At 43.5% G+C, this 15127-nt stretch overlaps 1 protein-coding gene across 2 annotated transcripts in view; it reads left to right on the forward strand.

The window, feature by feature from the left end:
* Positions 1 to 15127, forward strand: part of NCKAP1L (NCK associated protein 1 like) — a 50492-nt gene that overhangs the window by 21763 nt on the left and 13602 nt on the right. For both annotated transcript variants that reach the window (NM_005337.5, NM_001184976.2), the window contains exons 17-26: positions 1180 to 1312; positions 1605 to 1724; positions 3880 to 4025; positions 4311 to 4442; positions 7014 to 7232; positions 8733 to 8863; positions 11746 to 11843; positions 11977 to 12070; positions 12229 to 12311; positions 12656 to 12736. In NM_005337.5, coding sequence (NP_005328.2) covers positions 1180 to 1312; positions 1605 to 1724; positions 3880 to 4025; positions 4311 to 4442; positions 7014 to 7232; positions 8733 to 8863; positions 11746 to 11843; positions 11977 to 12070; positions 12229 to 12311; positions 12656 to 12736 — 1237 coding nt within the window. The remainder of the gene's footprint in view (positions 1 to 1179; positions 1313 to 1604; positions 1725 to 3879; positions 4026 to 4310; positions 4443 to 7013; positions 7233 to 8732; positions 8864 to 11745; positions 11844 to 11976; positions 12071 to 12228; positions 12312 to 12655; positions 12737 to 15127) is intronic.

Raw genomic sequence — 15127 nt, forward strand, 5'->3', positions numbered from 1 at the left:
TACCTCAGCCTCCTAAGTAGCTGGGATTACAGGCGAGAGCCACCAAGCTCTGAACCAGAGCTCTTCATCAATTCATTTGCTCTCTTGCCTGGCCTCTGCGGAGGACTGTCATTCCCCTAGACAATTGGAAAGTGTTGCTGTTTTTGAGATCTCCTTAAGGTGCTCAAACTCCGCAGCTCACTTGTGTCAGCTTTTTACCAATAATCTTAAGTGATAGGAATTTGAAGTTGATTCCTTTTGTTCTGTATTCTCTTTTGTTCTTTTGTGGAAAGCCATTTGGATTTTACATAGTCTTCGCTTCTCTGGGGTAGTTAGCCCATATGTCTAGTTTCAATCTCCTCTCTTTGGAAACGTCTTCAGATTTTTTTTTTTTTTTTTTACTCTAGGAACATTGTGATTTAAAAGAAACAGGAAAAACTTTGAGTTTTAGTGGACAGGAGTGAAAATAAGTGAGAGGCCTAGAGAATAGGGACTTTGGAGAATGAGCTGAATGAGTTTGTCTTTCTTAGATAGCACTTGACGTTTTTAGGTGACCACTGTTGTACATAATTCCACCCTTTGAAGGATCAAACAAGGAGTATGTAGCTTACTCATTCATTCAACAAAACACAATGTGTTGTCTCTGCCTTCTGTAAGCAATGTAGTTGGGGAGATATAATACCTATATGTGAAAAGGACATCAACATAGTACTTGCAAATGTAAGAAAGTGTAAAAGAGTACATGAAGTTGAGAGGACATGGGTTGAGGAAAGATCAGTCTCATGGGATTAATTTGAGAAGATTTTCTGGAGCCTGAGTGTTAAATTTTGAGAAGAATGTGAATTAACACTACTGAAGGACTTCTAAATTAGGGGGAATGGCCCAAATCATGCCAAGGTTCTAAGGGAAGAATAGCAAATTTTGTGCAAGGAAAGGGAAGAAGATTATCATTAAACTTGCCTGGGGTCCTTTATAAAAGTCTGGAAGGATTAAGTTTCTTGGGTTCCGTTCTATCTTAAGGGTTACAGAAATTAAGGAGAGAGTGGTAAATATCGGTAAATGTTTTTTGAAAGAATGAATATCCTCTCCGCCTCAAAGGGACTAGCTCTTAAACTCTATTTTTCTTTTCCTTTATTTTTCACTCACCACTTTACTAATAAGGACTAAATCTTGATTTAAAGTCTTCCCGTTTCTCTGCAGCTTTCATCTTCGTATCTTTGAGAAGATGTTTGCCATGACCTTGGAGGAATCTGCCATGTTGCGTTATGCCATTGCTTTCCCCCTGATTTGTGCTCACTTTGTCCACTGCACTCATGAGATGTGCCCAGAGGAGGTAGGTATCCTGATCTCCAGACCCTGTCATCTTTCTAGTCATCATCCTTATCACCCAAAACACAATTCCAAGGGTTGATTTTGGTCCCAGAAAGGGTATAAACATAGATGTATGATATGAGTCCCTAAATATCTCAGCTTGATGTATCCTGTCTCTGGGCCTCAGTTTCTTCTTCTGTAGGAATGGGTAGGAATCTTCTGTAAGATTCAGGCAAGGGATGAGAGCAGTATTGTGAGGAAGAAGTGGCCGTGCTGGTGATGACAGTCTCTTCTTTGGTCCCTCTTTCCCATAGTACCCCCACCTCAAGAACCATGGTCTTCACCACTGCAACTCCTTCCTGGAAGAGTTGGCCAAGCAGACCAGCAATTGCGTCCTGGAGATCTGTGCTGAGCAGCGAAACCTGAGCGAGCAGGTAGACTCAGCCCTCTCTGTTTCACTCTCCCCTCTGCCAGCGCTCAGTGCCTTCCCCTCTATCTAACTTTGTTTCCCTCTCAGATGCCAAGCTCAGTAACTCTTTCTCTGAAGTAGGGCTAGGGCCTTTCTGTACTTGAGTTTATGGCAGAATTCTTTTCTTAGTGTAGTCCCTTCAGTCTTTCCTCCCTTAGGACTGGATAGAAGTGTCTAAAAATACTCTTATTTGAACAGCTGCACTCCAACAAAATCTGTGCTCTCACTTGAAGAGTTCTGAGAGATGAGTTAACTTTCTAATTTACCCCTCCTCTCTTTGCCCTGCGTACACATACTAAGGACAGTGGCCCCCAGGTCACCTGTCTTATCTCATCTTTCTGTCTATCTGCATCTTAATCTGTGGCTCTCTGGACATTTTGAAGCACCTCTTCTGTGTTTATCCTCAAGGCTGCTTTCTTGCCTTTTTCTTCTTATTTTTCCCCTCTCCTCCCTTGACTGACTCTTAGCACCTCGTCATAATTAGTTCAACCTAAATTTCAGAAAATTTGAAAATGAGAAACTTGTTTTGCTGTTGCCCTGGAGTCTTCTGGGTTTTCCAGACTACCCACCTTTCCTGGGTTTGAGTCAGGCTTGGTAAAGGGGAGTGTGTGTATGTGTGTGTGTGTGTGTGTGTGTGTGTGTATACAGATGCACAGTTACATTATTACTTAACCTTTTTATTTTTCATATGCAAATTACATACAATGGGGATAAAAATAGTTTCTTTACAGAAGTGTCTTAAGGATTAAATAGGGTATATTTAATATTTGACATAAAGCACTCAATAAATGTTACCTGCTATATTAGTTGGTACTTACCGGGCACAAAGCCCTGTGCTGGGTTTTTGGGGACCCAGAAGGAAGGTACACAATTCCTGCCCTTGGGGAATGTCCCAGTTTAAGAGAAAAGGGAGTATAAATACATGTTTGAAAGAAATTTAAATAATTAATGCAAGAAGATATGCAAATGAGTACAATTGCAGGTATATTCATTACTCAATATGCTTAATCTCAGCCAAAAGGCTGAGAAAGCCAAGAAGAGATCATCAGTCAATATGAATAACTACTACTTGCAAGAACACTGGTAAAGAGATTTGCTCTGTGCTGTCGTCTCAGGGATGACTAAAACATGATGCGAATAATTTTCACACATACAGAACTTTCGCAACCAAATGAGTATAGGCTTTCTAAAGTTAACATTCTGAGTAAATAATTACTGGCATTGCCATTACTAGTGGAATTACATATTTTGGAACTGCTTTCAGAATCTGCTACAGACACATAATCTTTTGCACAATCTCAGGGTTGACACATCTTTTTCCATCAAGGTGGACTTGATTTTTTTGAAACAGCCAAGAGTTTGGATTTAAAAAAAGAAGGCACGACTAAAAGTAACAAAACTGGTTTCCTTGTGTGGGTCTTATGCTGCTCTCAGAGTGATTTCAACTGAGGAGCTTCCAGACATGCCCTGCTCATGCTCAGCAGCTCTGGAGTAAATGGAGAGAATTCCAGTCACCCTGAAGGAGATGTCTGACTAGGATGTCTGAGTGAAGACAAGAGATGCCAGGTTGATGTTTAAGCTAATTAGCAAGAAATATGCTACTTAAAAAAAAAGTGGAAAGACAATGCTGGCCACATTGTGAACTCCAAATCTTTGGAGGGCTGTGGTGATGTGGGTAACTGTCTCATGAGATAGAATAGGAAGGGATGTAGTATGTGAGATGATTGTCCCATCTAGCAAAAAATAACTGTTTTCCTACATTGGAAGACCCTGCAAAGCACAACTGAGTGGGACTTTTAGATCTTGTTCTTTATACTTGAGTTTTTCCATTAAGAAAGGTTCTCTCAGGATGTGGGTGTGGGAGTGAGGCTCTGATCCCAGAAAGACACTGCCATCTTGAGACTTAGAGCCTGTACACACAGAGATATTTATGAAAACTGAAAGAGGTGAGCACATTCTGAATAGGCCCCCATTAAAGAAAGAGGTGTGTGGAAGGAAAGAGAGAGGAAGGCAGAAAGATAAAATAACAGACAACAATGGACAACAACCTTTTTATAACTGTCAGGTGCCGTTTTAGCAACAAATCCCCTTTCTCCATTTACCTGTGTTTGTTTCTGAAGCTTCTACCTAAGCACTGTGCCACTACAATCAGCAAAGCCAAGAACAAGAAAACCAGGAAGCAGAGGCAGACTCCCAGAAAAGGAGAGCCCGAGAGGGACAAGCCAGGAGCTGAGAGTCACCGGAAGAACCGCAGCATTGTCACCAAGTGAGGACCTGGGCCCTAGATGGCCAGCTGGGTACTGCATCAAAGAAGGCAGGAAAGGAAAGAGGGAAGGTGACACAGAAAGAAAAGAGCGCAAGTCATGGTGGGGAATGAGGGGCATGGAAAAGCACTTAAATGCGAATTTCCTACTTTGCCTTTGAAGTCTACATCAATGTGTACTCTTCTAGGCTGAGTATCCCTAGAAACTGGGTCATGGGCCCAACACGTCCTTCCTAGACATTAGCAGGCAGTGCCAGACCTGTAATCCAGGCTCATTTTCCTTTCTAGCATGGACAAGCTACACCTAAACTTGACAGAACTGGCACTGACAATGAATCATGTATACAGTTTCTCCGTGTTTGAACATACTATCTTCCCTTCTGAGTACCTCAGCAGCCACCTGGAGGCCAGACTCAACAGGTATCACTCTTTCCTTGTCCTCTGTTTGGACAGTAGTCTTCATACCCTACCATATACCTCTATGTGTAGTATGGTGGTCCTCAAAGTTGGGTCCCATTACATTCATCCTGGTGGTCATGCCACACGGTGGAGATTCTGTTGCAGTCAGTCTAGCATAGGTCCCAAGCATCTCTATTAAAAGCAAACAAAAGGAACCCCAAACCTCTATAGGTGGTTTTGATGAACACCCTAAATTGAAACCACTGGTTTAGTAGAATGAGCAAGGCCTTTGCAGTGAGCAGACCTGTGTTGACAACCTGGTCATTAGCTAAGACATTGGAGCAGATCGTCCAACTTATTTGAACCAGTTTCTTTCCTTGTAAAGTAAGGATAATGGTATTTACCTTATTTATGGATAATTGAGAATTACCCATAATTGAGAGTTGGTAGAGAATTAAAGTTAGTAATGAGTGCAAAGCTCCTGACATATGTTAGGCTTTAATAAAATACATCCCTAGCTTCCACTTTGCGCTTCACTCCATTGCCCCATAAAGTAAGATGCACATTGGAATTGGGCACTACAGTCTGCAAGTGGGTGAATGGGAGGAAGAATTATTATGAATAAGTCTCAGCACTTCTGTGTTTTCTTTTGGAGTATGTAGCTTATTCATTCATTCAACAAATGTTTATTGAACACCTGCTGTGTGTCAGGAGTATTCTAAAAGCTGTTTATACAGCAATATACGAAACAAATAAAAACCTCTGCCTCCATGCTTACTTCTAGTGGGGAAGATAGATAAACAAAATAAGAAAGCAGAATACGTAGTAGATTAGATAGTGATAAGGACCAAGCAGAAAAATAAAGTGGGAAAGGGAGATAGGAGGATGTGCGGTGCTGGTGGTGCTGGTGGTGGCAGAAGTAGGTGTTGCAGTTTTAGATGGAGTGTCCAGGAAAGGCCTCTTTGAGAAAGTAACAATTGAGTAAACCTGTGAGGACACTGAGAAAGCCACGCATGTAACTACTGGGGAAAGAGCATTCTAGGTAGAGGAAACAGCAAGTGCAAAGGCTCTGAGGTTCGAACATGCCTTCTAGGTTCAAGGGACATGGAGAAAGACAGTGTGTCTGCAGCACTATGAGCCTGGGAGAGACTGGTAGGATGTAAGGTGAGGGAGGTCAGAAAAGTGGCAGATTGTGTATGCGCTTATATGTCATTGTAAGGACTTCGGCTTTTATTCTGAGTGAGATGGGAGATGGGGAGCCTTGGCAGGTTTTGTGCAAAGCTGCAATGATTAGACTTGACTCAATATTTTACTCTGGCTACATTAGCGGGGGCAAGGACAGAAGCAGGGAAACCAGTTATGAATCTATGTTTTGATTGTCAGAGAAGCAAATTTATTTTTCAATTGAGGTTTTTGCTTGGGTGAAGTTAAATTAGTTTGTTTTCATTACATACACGTTAACTATAAGGAAGAAAGTGTCTCAGTTGCATACACAATGTCAGGAAGATGACAGTTTGATAATGGCCCATGTGCAAGCCTTCAGATGCTGGTGGTGGTTTCCAGGCCCTGGAGCAGCATGAGTGTGACATTCAAGTTTTACCCGAATAATCTCTGATACTTGCTTCACTGACATCATTGTTCCCAAAGCCCTAAGGTTGGCCTAGAGGTTTGGCCTCAGTGTTAACTCTAAATTAGATCAGTCTTGCCCTTAGTCTGTCCCTTCTGTATTATCTTCCCTTAAGTGGTACTTGAGAACCTTTTCCCTTTCATTTGTGGAGCAGACCAGCCCCACCTTTCCCATCCCCTCCCCTGCCATAAGCATTTTGCCAAAAAACACAAAACAAACAAAAAACTACCTCTTTCCTCTGTGGTTTACATTTTAACAAGGAAAAAAGTCCTTAGTCAGAGGACTGACTCTAATTGTGAAATCTCAGATACTTGGGGGAGGTATTTTGAAAGGAGTTGGGGGTCCAGTGGTGAGGGGTCTTGCTGGTGTGCCCCTACAATAATATAGTGTGGATAGTTATTCTCCCCTCTCTAATGTTGCCTATAGCTGCATGCCAGCCACGCATGATCTCTATTCAGCCCTGGCGTGCCATGGCTACTCAGGATTATAATATACTTCCAAGGATTTCTAAGCATGGTTTTCCATTTCTGGCAGTGATCGGAACTAATTCTTTTCAAGGGGAAAAGATAAATACTTTCACTGGGAATGCAGAGGGTGTGAACTGTCAGGTAGAGTTAGATGGAATTAGAGAGCCCAGGTCTTCTACTACCTGAGCTATTTCTCCAGAGGAGGAAGAAAAGCACAGTAATTAGGGATCAAATGTTACTGGAATCAAGTCCCAGCTCTGCCACTGCCAGCTGTGTGGTCGTCAGCAATGATTTATTATCTCTGTGTCTCAGTTTCCTCATCTATAAAAATGAGGATAATAACTGTCTCTAGCTTATTAGGTTACTATGAGGTTTACATGAGATAATATGTGTAGTAAAATCCTAGCACAGCACCTGGAACACAATATACACTCAACAATTGTTACTGTATTTGCCATTATGATTGTAATTCTAATTTTTTTTTTTTAAATCACCTAGAGCCATTGTGTGGCTGGCTGGCTACAATGCCACGACCCAGGAGATCGTACGGCCTTCTGAGCTGTTGGCAGGAGTCAAAGCATACATTGGTTTCATACAGTCACTGGCCCAGTTTTTGGGTGCAGATGCTTCCAGAGTCATCCGCAACGCCCTCCTGCAGCAGACACAACCACTGGATTCCTGTGGGGAACAGACAATCACCACACTCTACACAAACTGGTCAGTGTTGCTTAGGCTTTTCCACTGCCTTACTTTGTGTTGGCACTTTTTCCTTTACACGGTAGGACCTCAGGGCCCGAGCATTTTAGCTCCCAGGGTCATAGACTCCAAAATGGAGGGTTGCTTCTCCTTGAGGAATGGAGCAATAACCTGAGACAAGCCCAGATCCCCTTCTGTCCACCACGAAGTTTCCTTCTCACCCTCACTGGAACATCCTTCAGCCTACCCTGCAGTTATTTGACCTTTTCTCTCTAATATCTAGTTCTTAACCTTTCTTTTTTGGATTCTTACTGTTTCAATTTCAAATGATCTCTCTTCCTCTTTCCAAAGTTCTCTTATTTCTCTTTTTGCCCTTACTTCTCCTTCTGAAAACCATCTGCCTACTACCATCTCTCTGGAACGTCTCCTTGTCCCCAGATGTGACTATTGTTCTTAATAGAGAAGGGAGCCTCCTCCCTGCAACTGGAGAAGGTGGGAATCAGCACTGTTTCCTTTGACATGTTAAGGAATGGAAAGGAGCTGGATTTCTACCTCCCCAAGCCACTGGGTGGCGCTCTTAACCCAAAATCAGCTCAGTAGGCGACAGGCTGCAAAGAAGAACCCCCCAGAACAAGGGGAAACAAAGTTTGCAAATGCAAATGCCAGTTGGGGCCAGGCAGGAAAGGTAAATGGATGTGCCACATGGGCCAGGCAGAGACTTTGAGGAGGTGGTGAGAGAATACCCCTCTAAAGGGAACAGCCACCGCTTAGCTCCACCTGATTGCTGCCCTACTAAATCCTTATATTTTATGTAAAAATCTGTTTCAAAATTTTGACAAAGAATTTTCCATAGGTGCCAGAGAAGGTGATTCAGCCCCTCTTCCCCTGTCAGCCGTTTCAGCGTAAATTCAAAGGAAAAAAAAAGTTTGACTGGGTTTGGCCCACTGACAGTTAGCTTGTGATGTCTATTAGATACAGACCCAGAGCAAGTGCCTGGGAGAGGCGGGTTGGTCAAGCCCTCCTCTACCCACATTGGCTGTAGCCCAGCTCCTTTAAGTTTGCCCAGAGGTCAGGAGGAAATATTTGGAGACTGATGACCTGTGCTCACAGGTACCTCTTTGCCCAGGAGGTTTGAGAGTATATTTCAAAGGAGTCTAATTAAGTAGTGACTTTTTTCTTGCCAGGTTGAGCCTGTCTTACCTGACAGAGGGTAAGGGTGAGGGGAATACAGCTGTTGGAAAAGAGCAGTGGTTGAGGGAGGGGAGTGCATGCTATTGCATTTGACGGTATAGCAAAATACCCTCCAGGTTAGAGGCAAAGTGGAATTCCAGTACTGCCAGTTGTTTTTGATCCATCAGCTTGGGGTGTTAATTAGAACATTGTGCCATCTTCTTTGAGTTTCTTCTCCCTACCCCAGTCTTTTGCAGAGTTTTTCTTTCTGAGCTCAGTGGTAGTAGTAGGGAATGCTGGTAGGGAGAAGGGATTGGATCCTAATCTATGTTTTCTTGGCCAACCCTGTAGGTACCTGGAAAGTCTGCTTAGACAGGCAAGCAGTGGGACCATCATCCTCTCCCCAGCCATGCAGGCCTTCGTCAGCCTGCCCAGAGAAGGGGAGCAGAACTTCAGTGCAGAGGAGTTCTCTGACATCTCTGGTGAGCTCAGGGCCTGGTCTTCTTGTCAAGGAGCTGAGCCCTTCCTTCAATGCACAGAGAATAAAAGACTAGGACATGTATTTAGGTTGGTGCAAAAGTAATTTTTGCAATTACTTTTCATTGCAAAAACCACAGTTACTTTTGCACCAACCTAATAGTGAAGGGTAAGGGATAAAGTATAAGGAGGACATTCTCCTGTTTGGAATTATTAAATAGTGGTCTGCTGTCATGGCATCTTCTTCTTCTTCTTCTTCTTTTTTTTTTTTGAGATGGAGTCTCGCTCTGTTGCCCAGGGTGGAGTGCAGCGGCACTATCTTGGCTCACCGCAACCTGCGCCTCCCGGGTTCAAGCAATTCTCCTGCCTCAGCCTCCCGAATAGCTGGGACTACAGGCAAATGCCACCATGCTGGACTAATTTTTTATATATATATATATTTTTAGTAGAGATGGGGTTTCACCATGTTAGCCAGGATGGTCTCGATCTCCTGACCTTGTGATCTGCCCGCCTCAGCCTTCCAAAGCGCTGGGATTACAGGCATGAGCCACCACCCCCAGCCAGCGTCTTATGCTTTAGGGATACATTTTAGAGTCTTAGCCAGTGTTTGGATTGCTGATGTTTAATAATAACGATGATGAGATGATACATGACATTTATTGTGGGCTAAGTTCTAAGTGTTTATACATATTAACTCACTTAATCCTCATAACAGCCTTGGGGTATAATAGATACACTTATTCCCGTTTTTCAGATGAGGACACTGGGACACAGAGAGTTTAAGGAACTTGCCTAAGTCCACACATTCATAAATAGTAGGACTTGGAGTTCGACTCCAGGCAGTCAAACTCCAGGAACTGGGGGCTTAAGCACTGTACAGCGCTGCCTTCCAGTGTCTAGAAGTGCTTTTGTGTCTCAGGGGGAGACAGGTAAGGAGTGTGTAGTGAATGAGATGGGAAGCCTTTCCCTTTCTCAAGAGGGTTTGAAACTACAAGATCCTTTTTAATAGGTTTGTTTTTACCAACTAATTCATGAACTATCCTACTTCTTTCTCCTTCCTCTCACCTCCATATAAATCAGGGACGCTGCATAGTATCTGGGACAGGGTGAAGATGTTCCAGTGACGCTGTCCTCTCCAGTCTTCTTCTTTGGGGGGTGCTAAGAAAGCCAAAGTACACAGTTCTGTTTTCCAGTTCTGCCTCCTTCCCATCATCCCGCCTCCATCAGTAAGCTGACCCTACGCTTTACCTGCTGCAGGTTTCAGATGTCCCCTTCTCATCAACTCTACCCACAAACTGTAGGCAGCCTCTAAAATCAGCTTTAGGTCTTGCTGACAAATGACAAGCAGCAGGAGGTAATGCTGATTCCCCCTTCTACCACCCCCACCCCAATTTCCCTTGGTTGCCATAGTGATGGGGCAATGCTACTGCAAAAATAGATAGATGGAAAGAGAAGGATGCCCTAGGGTTGCTAGCTGGGGGTAGAGAAGACTGGAGTAAGGAGCTTTGGCAGATCCAAACTGGTAGATCAGTGTGTCTCCTTTCTGTCAGCTACAGAGGGCGATTCAGCTCTTCTTCCTCTCTGTCAGCCATTGCGGCATTATCCAAGTTGATCGGTCAGGAAATCCTTTCATAGTTCTGAGCTCAGTTCTTCCTATTAAAACAGGTTGACTCTAAAAATGTCTAACATCTACTGTGGACAAGACTCTGTGTCAGTGGCTGTGACCAGTTCCATTTCCTCTGTCACTGATGAAGGTGGAGATCACTGGTCCTGCTTTGAAAGACTTGAGTGTGGAGCCTTGACTTCCATTTCTCTCTGAACTCTTATTAGCGATATTAAACTTGCCTTTCTTCTACTGGTCTCTTGTTGTTGTTACTTCTGGTCTTTCATGGTTTTCCCTGCTGGGATGGCCCACAGCCAGAGATCATAGCTAGAGCTCCTTCCTATCTGGATTTGTCACTAGTGTTTCTGACATGGGATTTCCCCAGGCAGGCTTTATTTAATTCACAAAGGGCCAGAGCAGGCTGGGTGGCAAGGGATAAAGCACTGGGACTACTAGAGAAAAGAAGGATTTAGAGGAATAAAGAACTGAGACTCTGCGGGATGTGTGTTGATTATGAAAAAAGAAAAGGTAGCTCAAGGAGAGGAAAATTTGGACAGTGGGACACTAAGTAAGGGAAGTAAAGGGAAAAACATACAATAAACATCAGATCTTAGATGAGGAAATAGTTGTATCTGCTGGGATGCAGTAAGGGGCAGTAAGACATTGCACTAGGCTTCCAGTACCAGCCCCTGCTGTGGTTAAGTGGCTCCGGACAAGCACTTAACCCCCTTGCCTGTAAAACCACGATGATCCTTCCTATGCCACATAATTCAGAGGACTCATAACATCATCATAATACTCCTTTATCCATATATTTTCCAAAGTTTTTATAATGTATCTTATTTACTCTCACATCAATTCTGTGGGTTGTTCATGGCAGATATTCATATCCTCATTTTACAGAGAAGTAAACCAGGCTCAGAGAGGTTCAATGACTTAAGGTCTTACGTCTAATAAAACTAGTATAGCTAGTACAGCAAGAGTCAAACCCAAGTGTCATATAAAGGAACACGGGAAAGTATAGATTCTTATAGGAAAGTAAAGTAATTAGTTATCATTTGTGGTAAGTCTTGGTGTGAGTACCAGTGGAGAGAGGGTAAATGTCCCATGGACTTGCCAGACTTGTCACTTGAATGTAGGATTTTAGGCTATTTTTGCTCCTTGACTTCTCATTTTCTTTTCTTGCTGGAAAACATTTTAAATATTCAAATTACCCTATAGCTGTTGTACAAATACTCCAGTGCCTTCTGAGTCCCATCTGGGGCCTCTGTAACTCTGTTCCAGAGATGCGGGCCTTGGCAGAACTCCTGGGCCCCTATGGCATGAAGTTCCTGAGTGAAAACCTGATGTGGCATGTGACCTCTCAGATTGTGGAGCTGAAGGTACTATGGAAACAATCCCTTGGGGAAAAGATCCTACCTTGAGGAAAGAGGGTGGGTATAGGAGACTGGGGGGGAAGATGTAACATTGGTCTCTTCTTTTCCTGCTTAATGTCTCTGTGTTCCTGGACTACAGAAGCTGGTGGTGGAAAACATGGACATACTTGTTCAGATCAGATCCAACTTTAGCAAGCCGGACTTGATGGCTTCCCTGCTGCCCCAGCTGACAGGTAAGCATCCTCTTCCCCTATAGTGAGAAGGAGCTGTGGAATCACATTGCAGATGACAGGGTTTTCAGGAATCTGGAGGCTAGGCGGGGTCTGTAGAATCAAAATCATCACCAATCCCTCTCTAAATTATCTTTTCTAACACGCTTCTTTCTCCTCAGGGGCTGAAAATGTGCTAAAGCGCATGACCATCATTGGGGTTATCCTCAGTTTCAGGGCCATGGCCCAAGAGGGACTTCGGGAGGTGAGTTGGTGGGGAGGGGTCTGTCACAGAGTCACAGATACCTCTGTGGGTAGGGTTTGTATGATAATTTGTGGAAGTATTGCGGGAATCAGTTTTAACTTCTGCTTCAGAAGGGGTTGGTGAGCATTGAGAAGAGGGAGAGTAATTTGGCAGAGATCCTAGAAGATCCCTAGGAATAAATGAGCTTAGGAAACCTAGAGGCATAAGGAGAGGGATGGCTTGGAAAGCTGGCTAGGTTCTTATCTAAATTGAGTGCCCCTCCTTTTTTTTTTTTTTTATTTCTACCTATTTTTGAAGGCATTGGTCATGGTCTTGTGGACTCATTTATCTTCTCTTTCCTCCAGGTTTTCTCCTCCCACTGCCCATTTCTTATGGGTCCCATTGAGTGCTTGAAGGAGTTTGTCACTCCAGACACAGACATCAAGGTATGGAGGAGTGCAAAGTAGAATCTAATTAGGAGACTTTTGTTGTTGAAAAGGAGGTAGCTAGGATCTTGTAAGGGAGAGCGGGTTCTGAAGAACACCATAGGGATAAGGGCGAGGGTTTGAATAGGAAAACTGGTCAGATGAATATTCTTGGAGAGAAAGAGCAGAGCTGGCAAGATGTAGGGGGATGGAGAGAAGTGGGAGGCTGGGAGACACTATGAGGGTTGGGGAGACATTACTGGAGGGGGAGGGGTAAGACCTAGGATAGTATCTGTAGGTTTTCACCTGATATGAGCACTGTGCAAATTAGATAAACTATGTGCAAACAAGTCCGCTCTTTAGTCTTGAGGTTAGGTACTGTTTATAGGAAGATTTGTTCCTTTCATTCCCACCCACCCTGCCTGCCCTCAGTCTTTTCTTTTCCTGGCCTTTTCTTCCTCCCATCCTTAAGCTTTCTGGTTCCTCTATGTCTGTTTCACCTGCCTCAGACCCCCATTTACTACAGGAGATGGTGAGAGGAAGAAGGGCTTCCACAGACAATATAAGTTAAGCATCCATTTCCCACCCATCTCCCACCTTTGAGTCATCTTGTCTTTTGAATCATCTGGAACTAAGAAGTATGCTATGGCAGGAAATACAGCTAGAGCCTAGGAATAGAATCCTTCAAATGCATAGGGCAGGCTCCTTCTCTTATAATTGATTCCTTTAATGGAGAGTGGTCTGTGTTAAGAGGAAACTAGTTAGCAGGAAGAATTAAAGTTATGTGTTAAGAAAATCTTCATTACTTTGAGATCAAAAGAGTTGTGAAATTTCCACCTCTATCTGCCTAAAATCATGAGGGGCAAGTGACTGTGGGGGCAGTGAGGGGGCAGTGTTTCACTAGGATAGCTGCCCCTCTTGAAAGATCTTTGATTTTAAGCTGAGCCTGGGTTTCTGGCACCTGCTGATGTTGGTCCAAATGCTCTAGGCTGTCAGGAGCTTGTCTAGCTGATATCTCCTGGGTAGCTCCAATCTTTAGGCTCTGCCTGCCTGTGAAAATAAGCAGGTAGGGGCAGAGAGGGAGGATGGCCTGTCCATCAGAGATGCTGTTACTGCCTCAGAGGAGCAAGAAGATTAGAAGAAGAAAAGATAAAATCCCTTCAACCATCCCTTTCTTCCTCCAGAAAACCTCATGAACCAGGTTCCTTATCTCTGAGGCCGTGGTTCCACAAACGGTCATTTAGGTAGTAGGGGATTTAAATAAGGGCAGAACAGAAGGTGGCAAAGATTTGGCTTCTGTATCAGTACCACAGCAAAGTGTGTGTATGTTGGTATGTCTGTGGGATTCTTTTTTTTTTTCTTGAGACAGAGTCTCGCTGTGTTGCCCAGTGCTGGAGTGCGATCTCAGCTCACTGCAACCTCTACCTCCTGGATTCAGGCAATTCTCATGCATCAGCCCCCCGAGTTCCTCCTGGAACTTCAGGTTCATGCCACCACACCTGGCTAATTTTTGTATTTTTAGTAAAGACAGGGTTTCACCAGGTTGGCCAGGCTTGTCTCCAACTCCTGGACTCAAGTGATCCGCCCACCTTGGCCTCCCAAAGTGCTGGGATTACAGGCATGAGCCATTGCTCTGGCCAGTCTGTGGGATTACTTGCATAAGATACTTAGTTGTCCAGTATTAAAACAATTATCCTTGTTCTTTCAAAAAACATTTTTTTAAATCTAAAAAGGGGTCTAGGTACTTAGTATGGGAGTAGGGGCTTGGGGCTGTGTCCTGGGAACCTGATTGTAAGTACAATGAGACATTCAGGTATCAATCAATCAATATTTATTGAATGCCTTCTATGTGCTCAGCATTATGTTAAACACTAGAGAAGGTAAAGAGAAATGCAAAACTCCTGACTTTAAGATAAAGGAAGAGGATGTAAAGGCATCACATTTTCTCTGTTAGTCACTAGGGTCGATGTGTGGTCTAATTTAATCTTCACAACAACTATGTGAGGTAAATGTTATTATGCCAGTTTTATAGGTGGGAAAATGAGGGATCAAAGAGGTTAAGTAACTTTTAGTCAAGGTCACACACTTAATAAGTGGTGTTGCTAGGACTTGAACCCAGATCTGTCTCACTCCAAAGCTTTTTGCTCCCTTCACTATGCCATGAGGTTTTAAAAAGCTATCTATTTGGCAAGATAAGGAGATGAGTCTTGCATTCCATCTAAAAAGATAACTAACACCAGATGCTGTGTGTGATCAATGCTAAGTCAGTGGTACCAACGTAAGGAGGGAAGAGCTGGCTTTGGGCTGAAGTAATCAGGTAGCGCTTTACAGAGAAGATGAGATCTAAGGGATGGACGTAACAGATATAAATAGAGGAGAGAAAAGGACCCTCAAAAGAGGGAAGCACCTGAA

The sequence above is a fragment of the Homo sapiens genome, chromosome 12 (assembly GCF_000001405.40).
Source record: "Homo sapiens chromosome 12, GRCh38.p14 Primary Assembly".
In the NCBI taxonomy this organism is placed as follows: domain Eukaryota; kingdom Metazoa; phylum Chordata; class Mammalia; order Primates; family Hominidae; genus Homo; species Homo sapiens.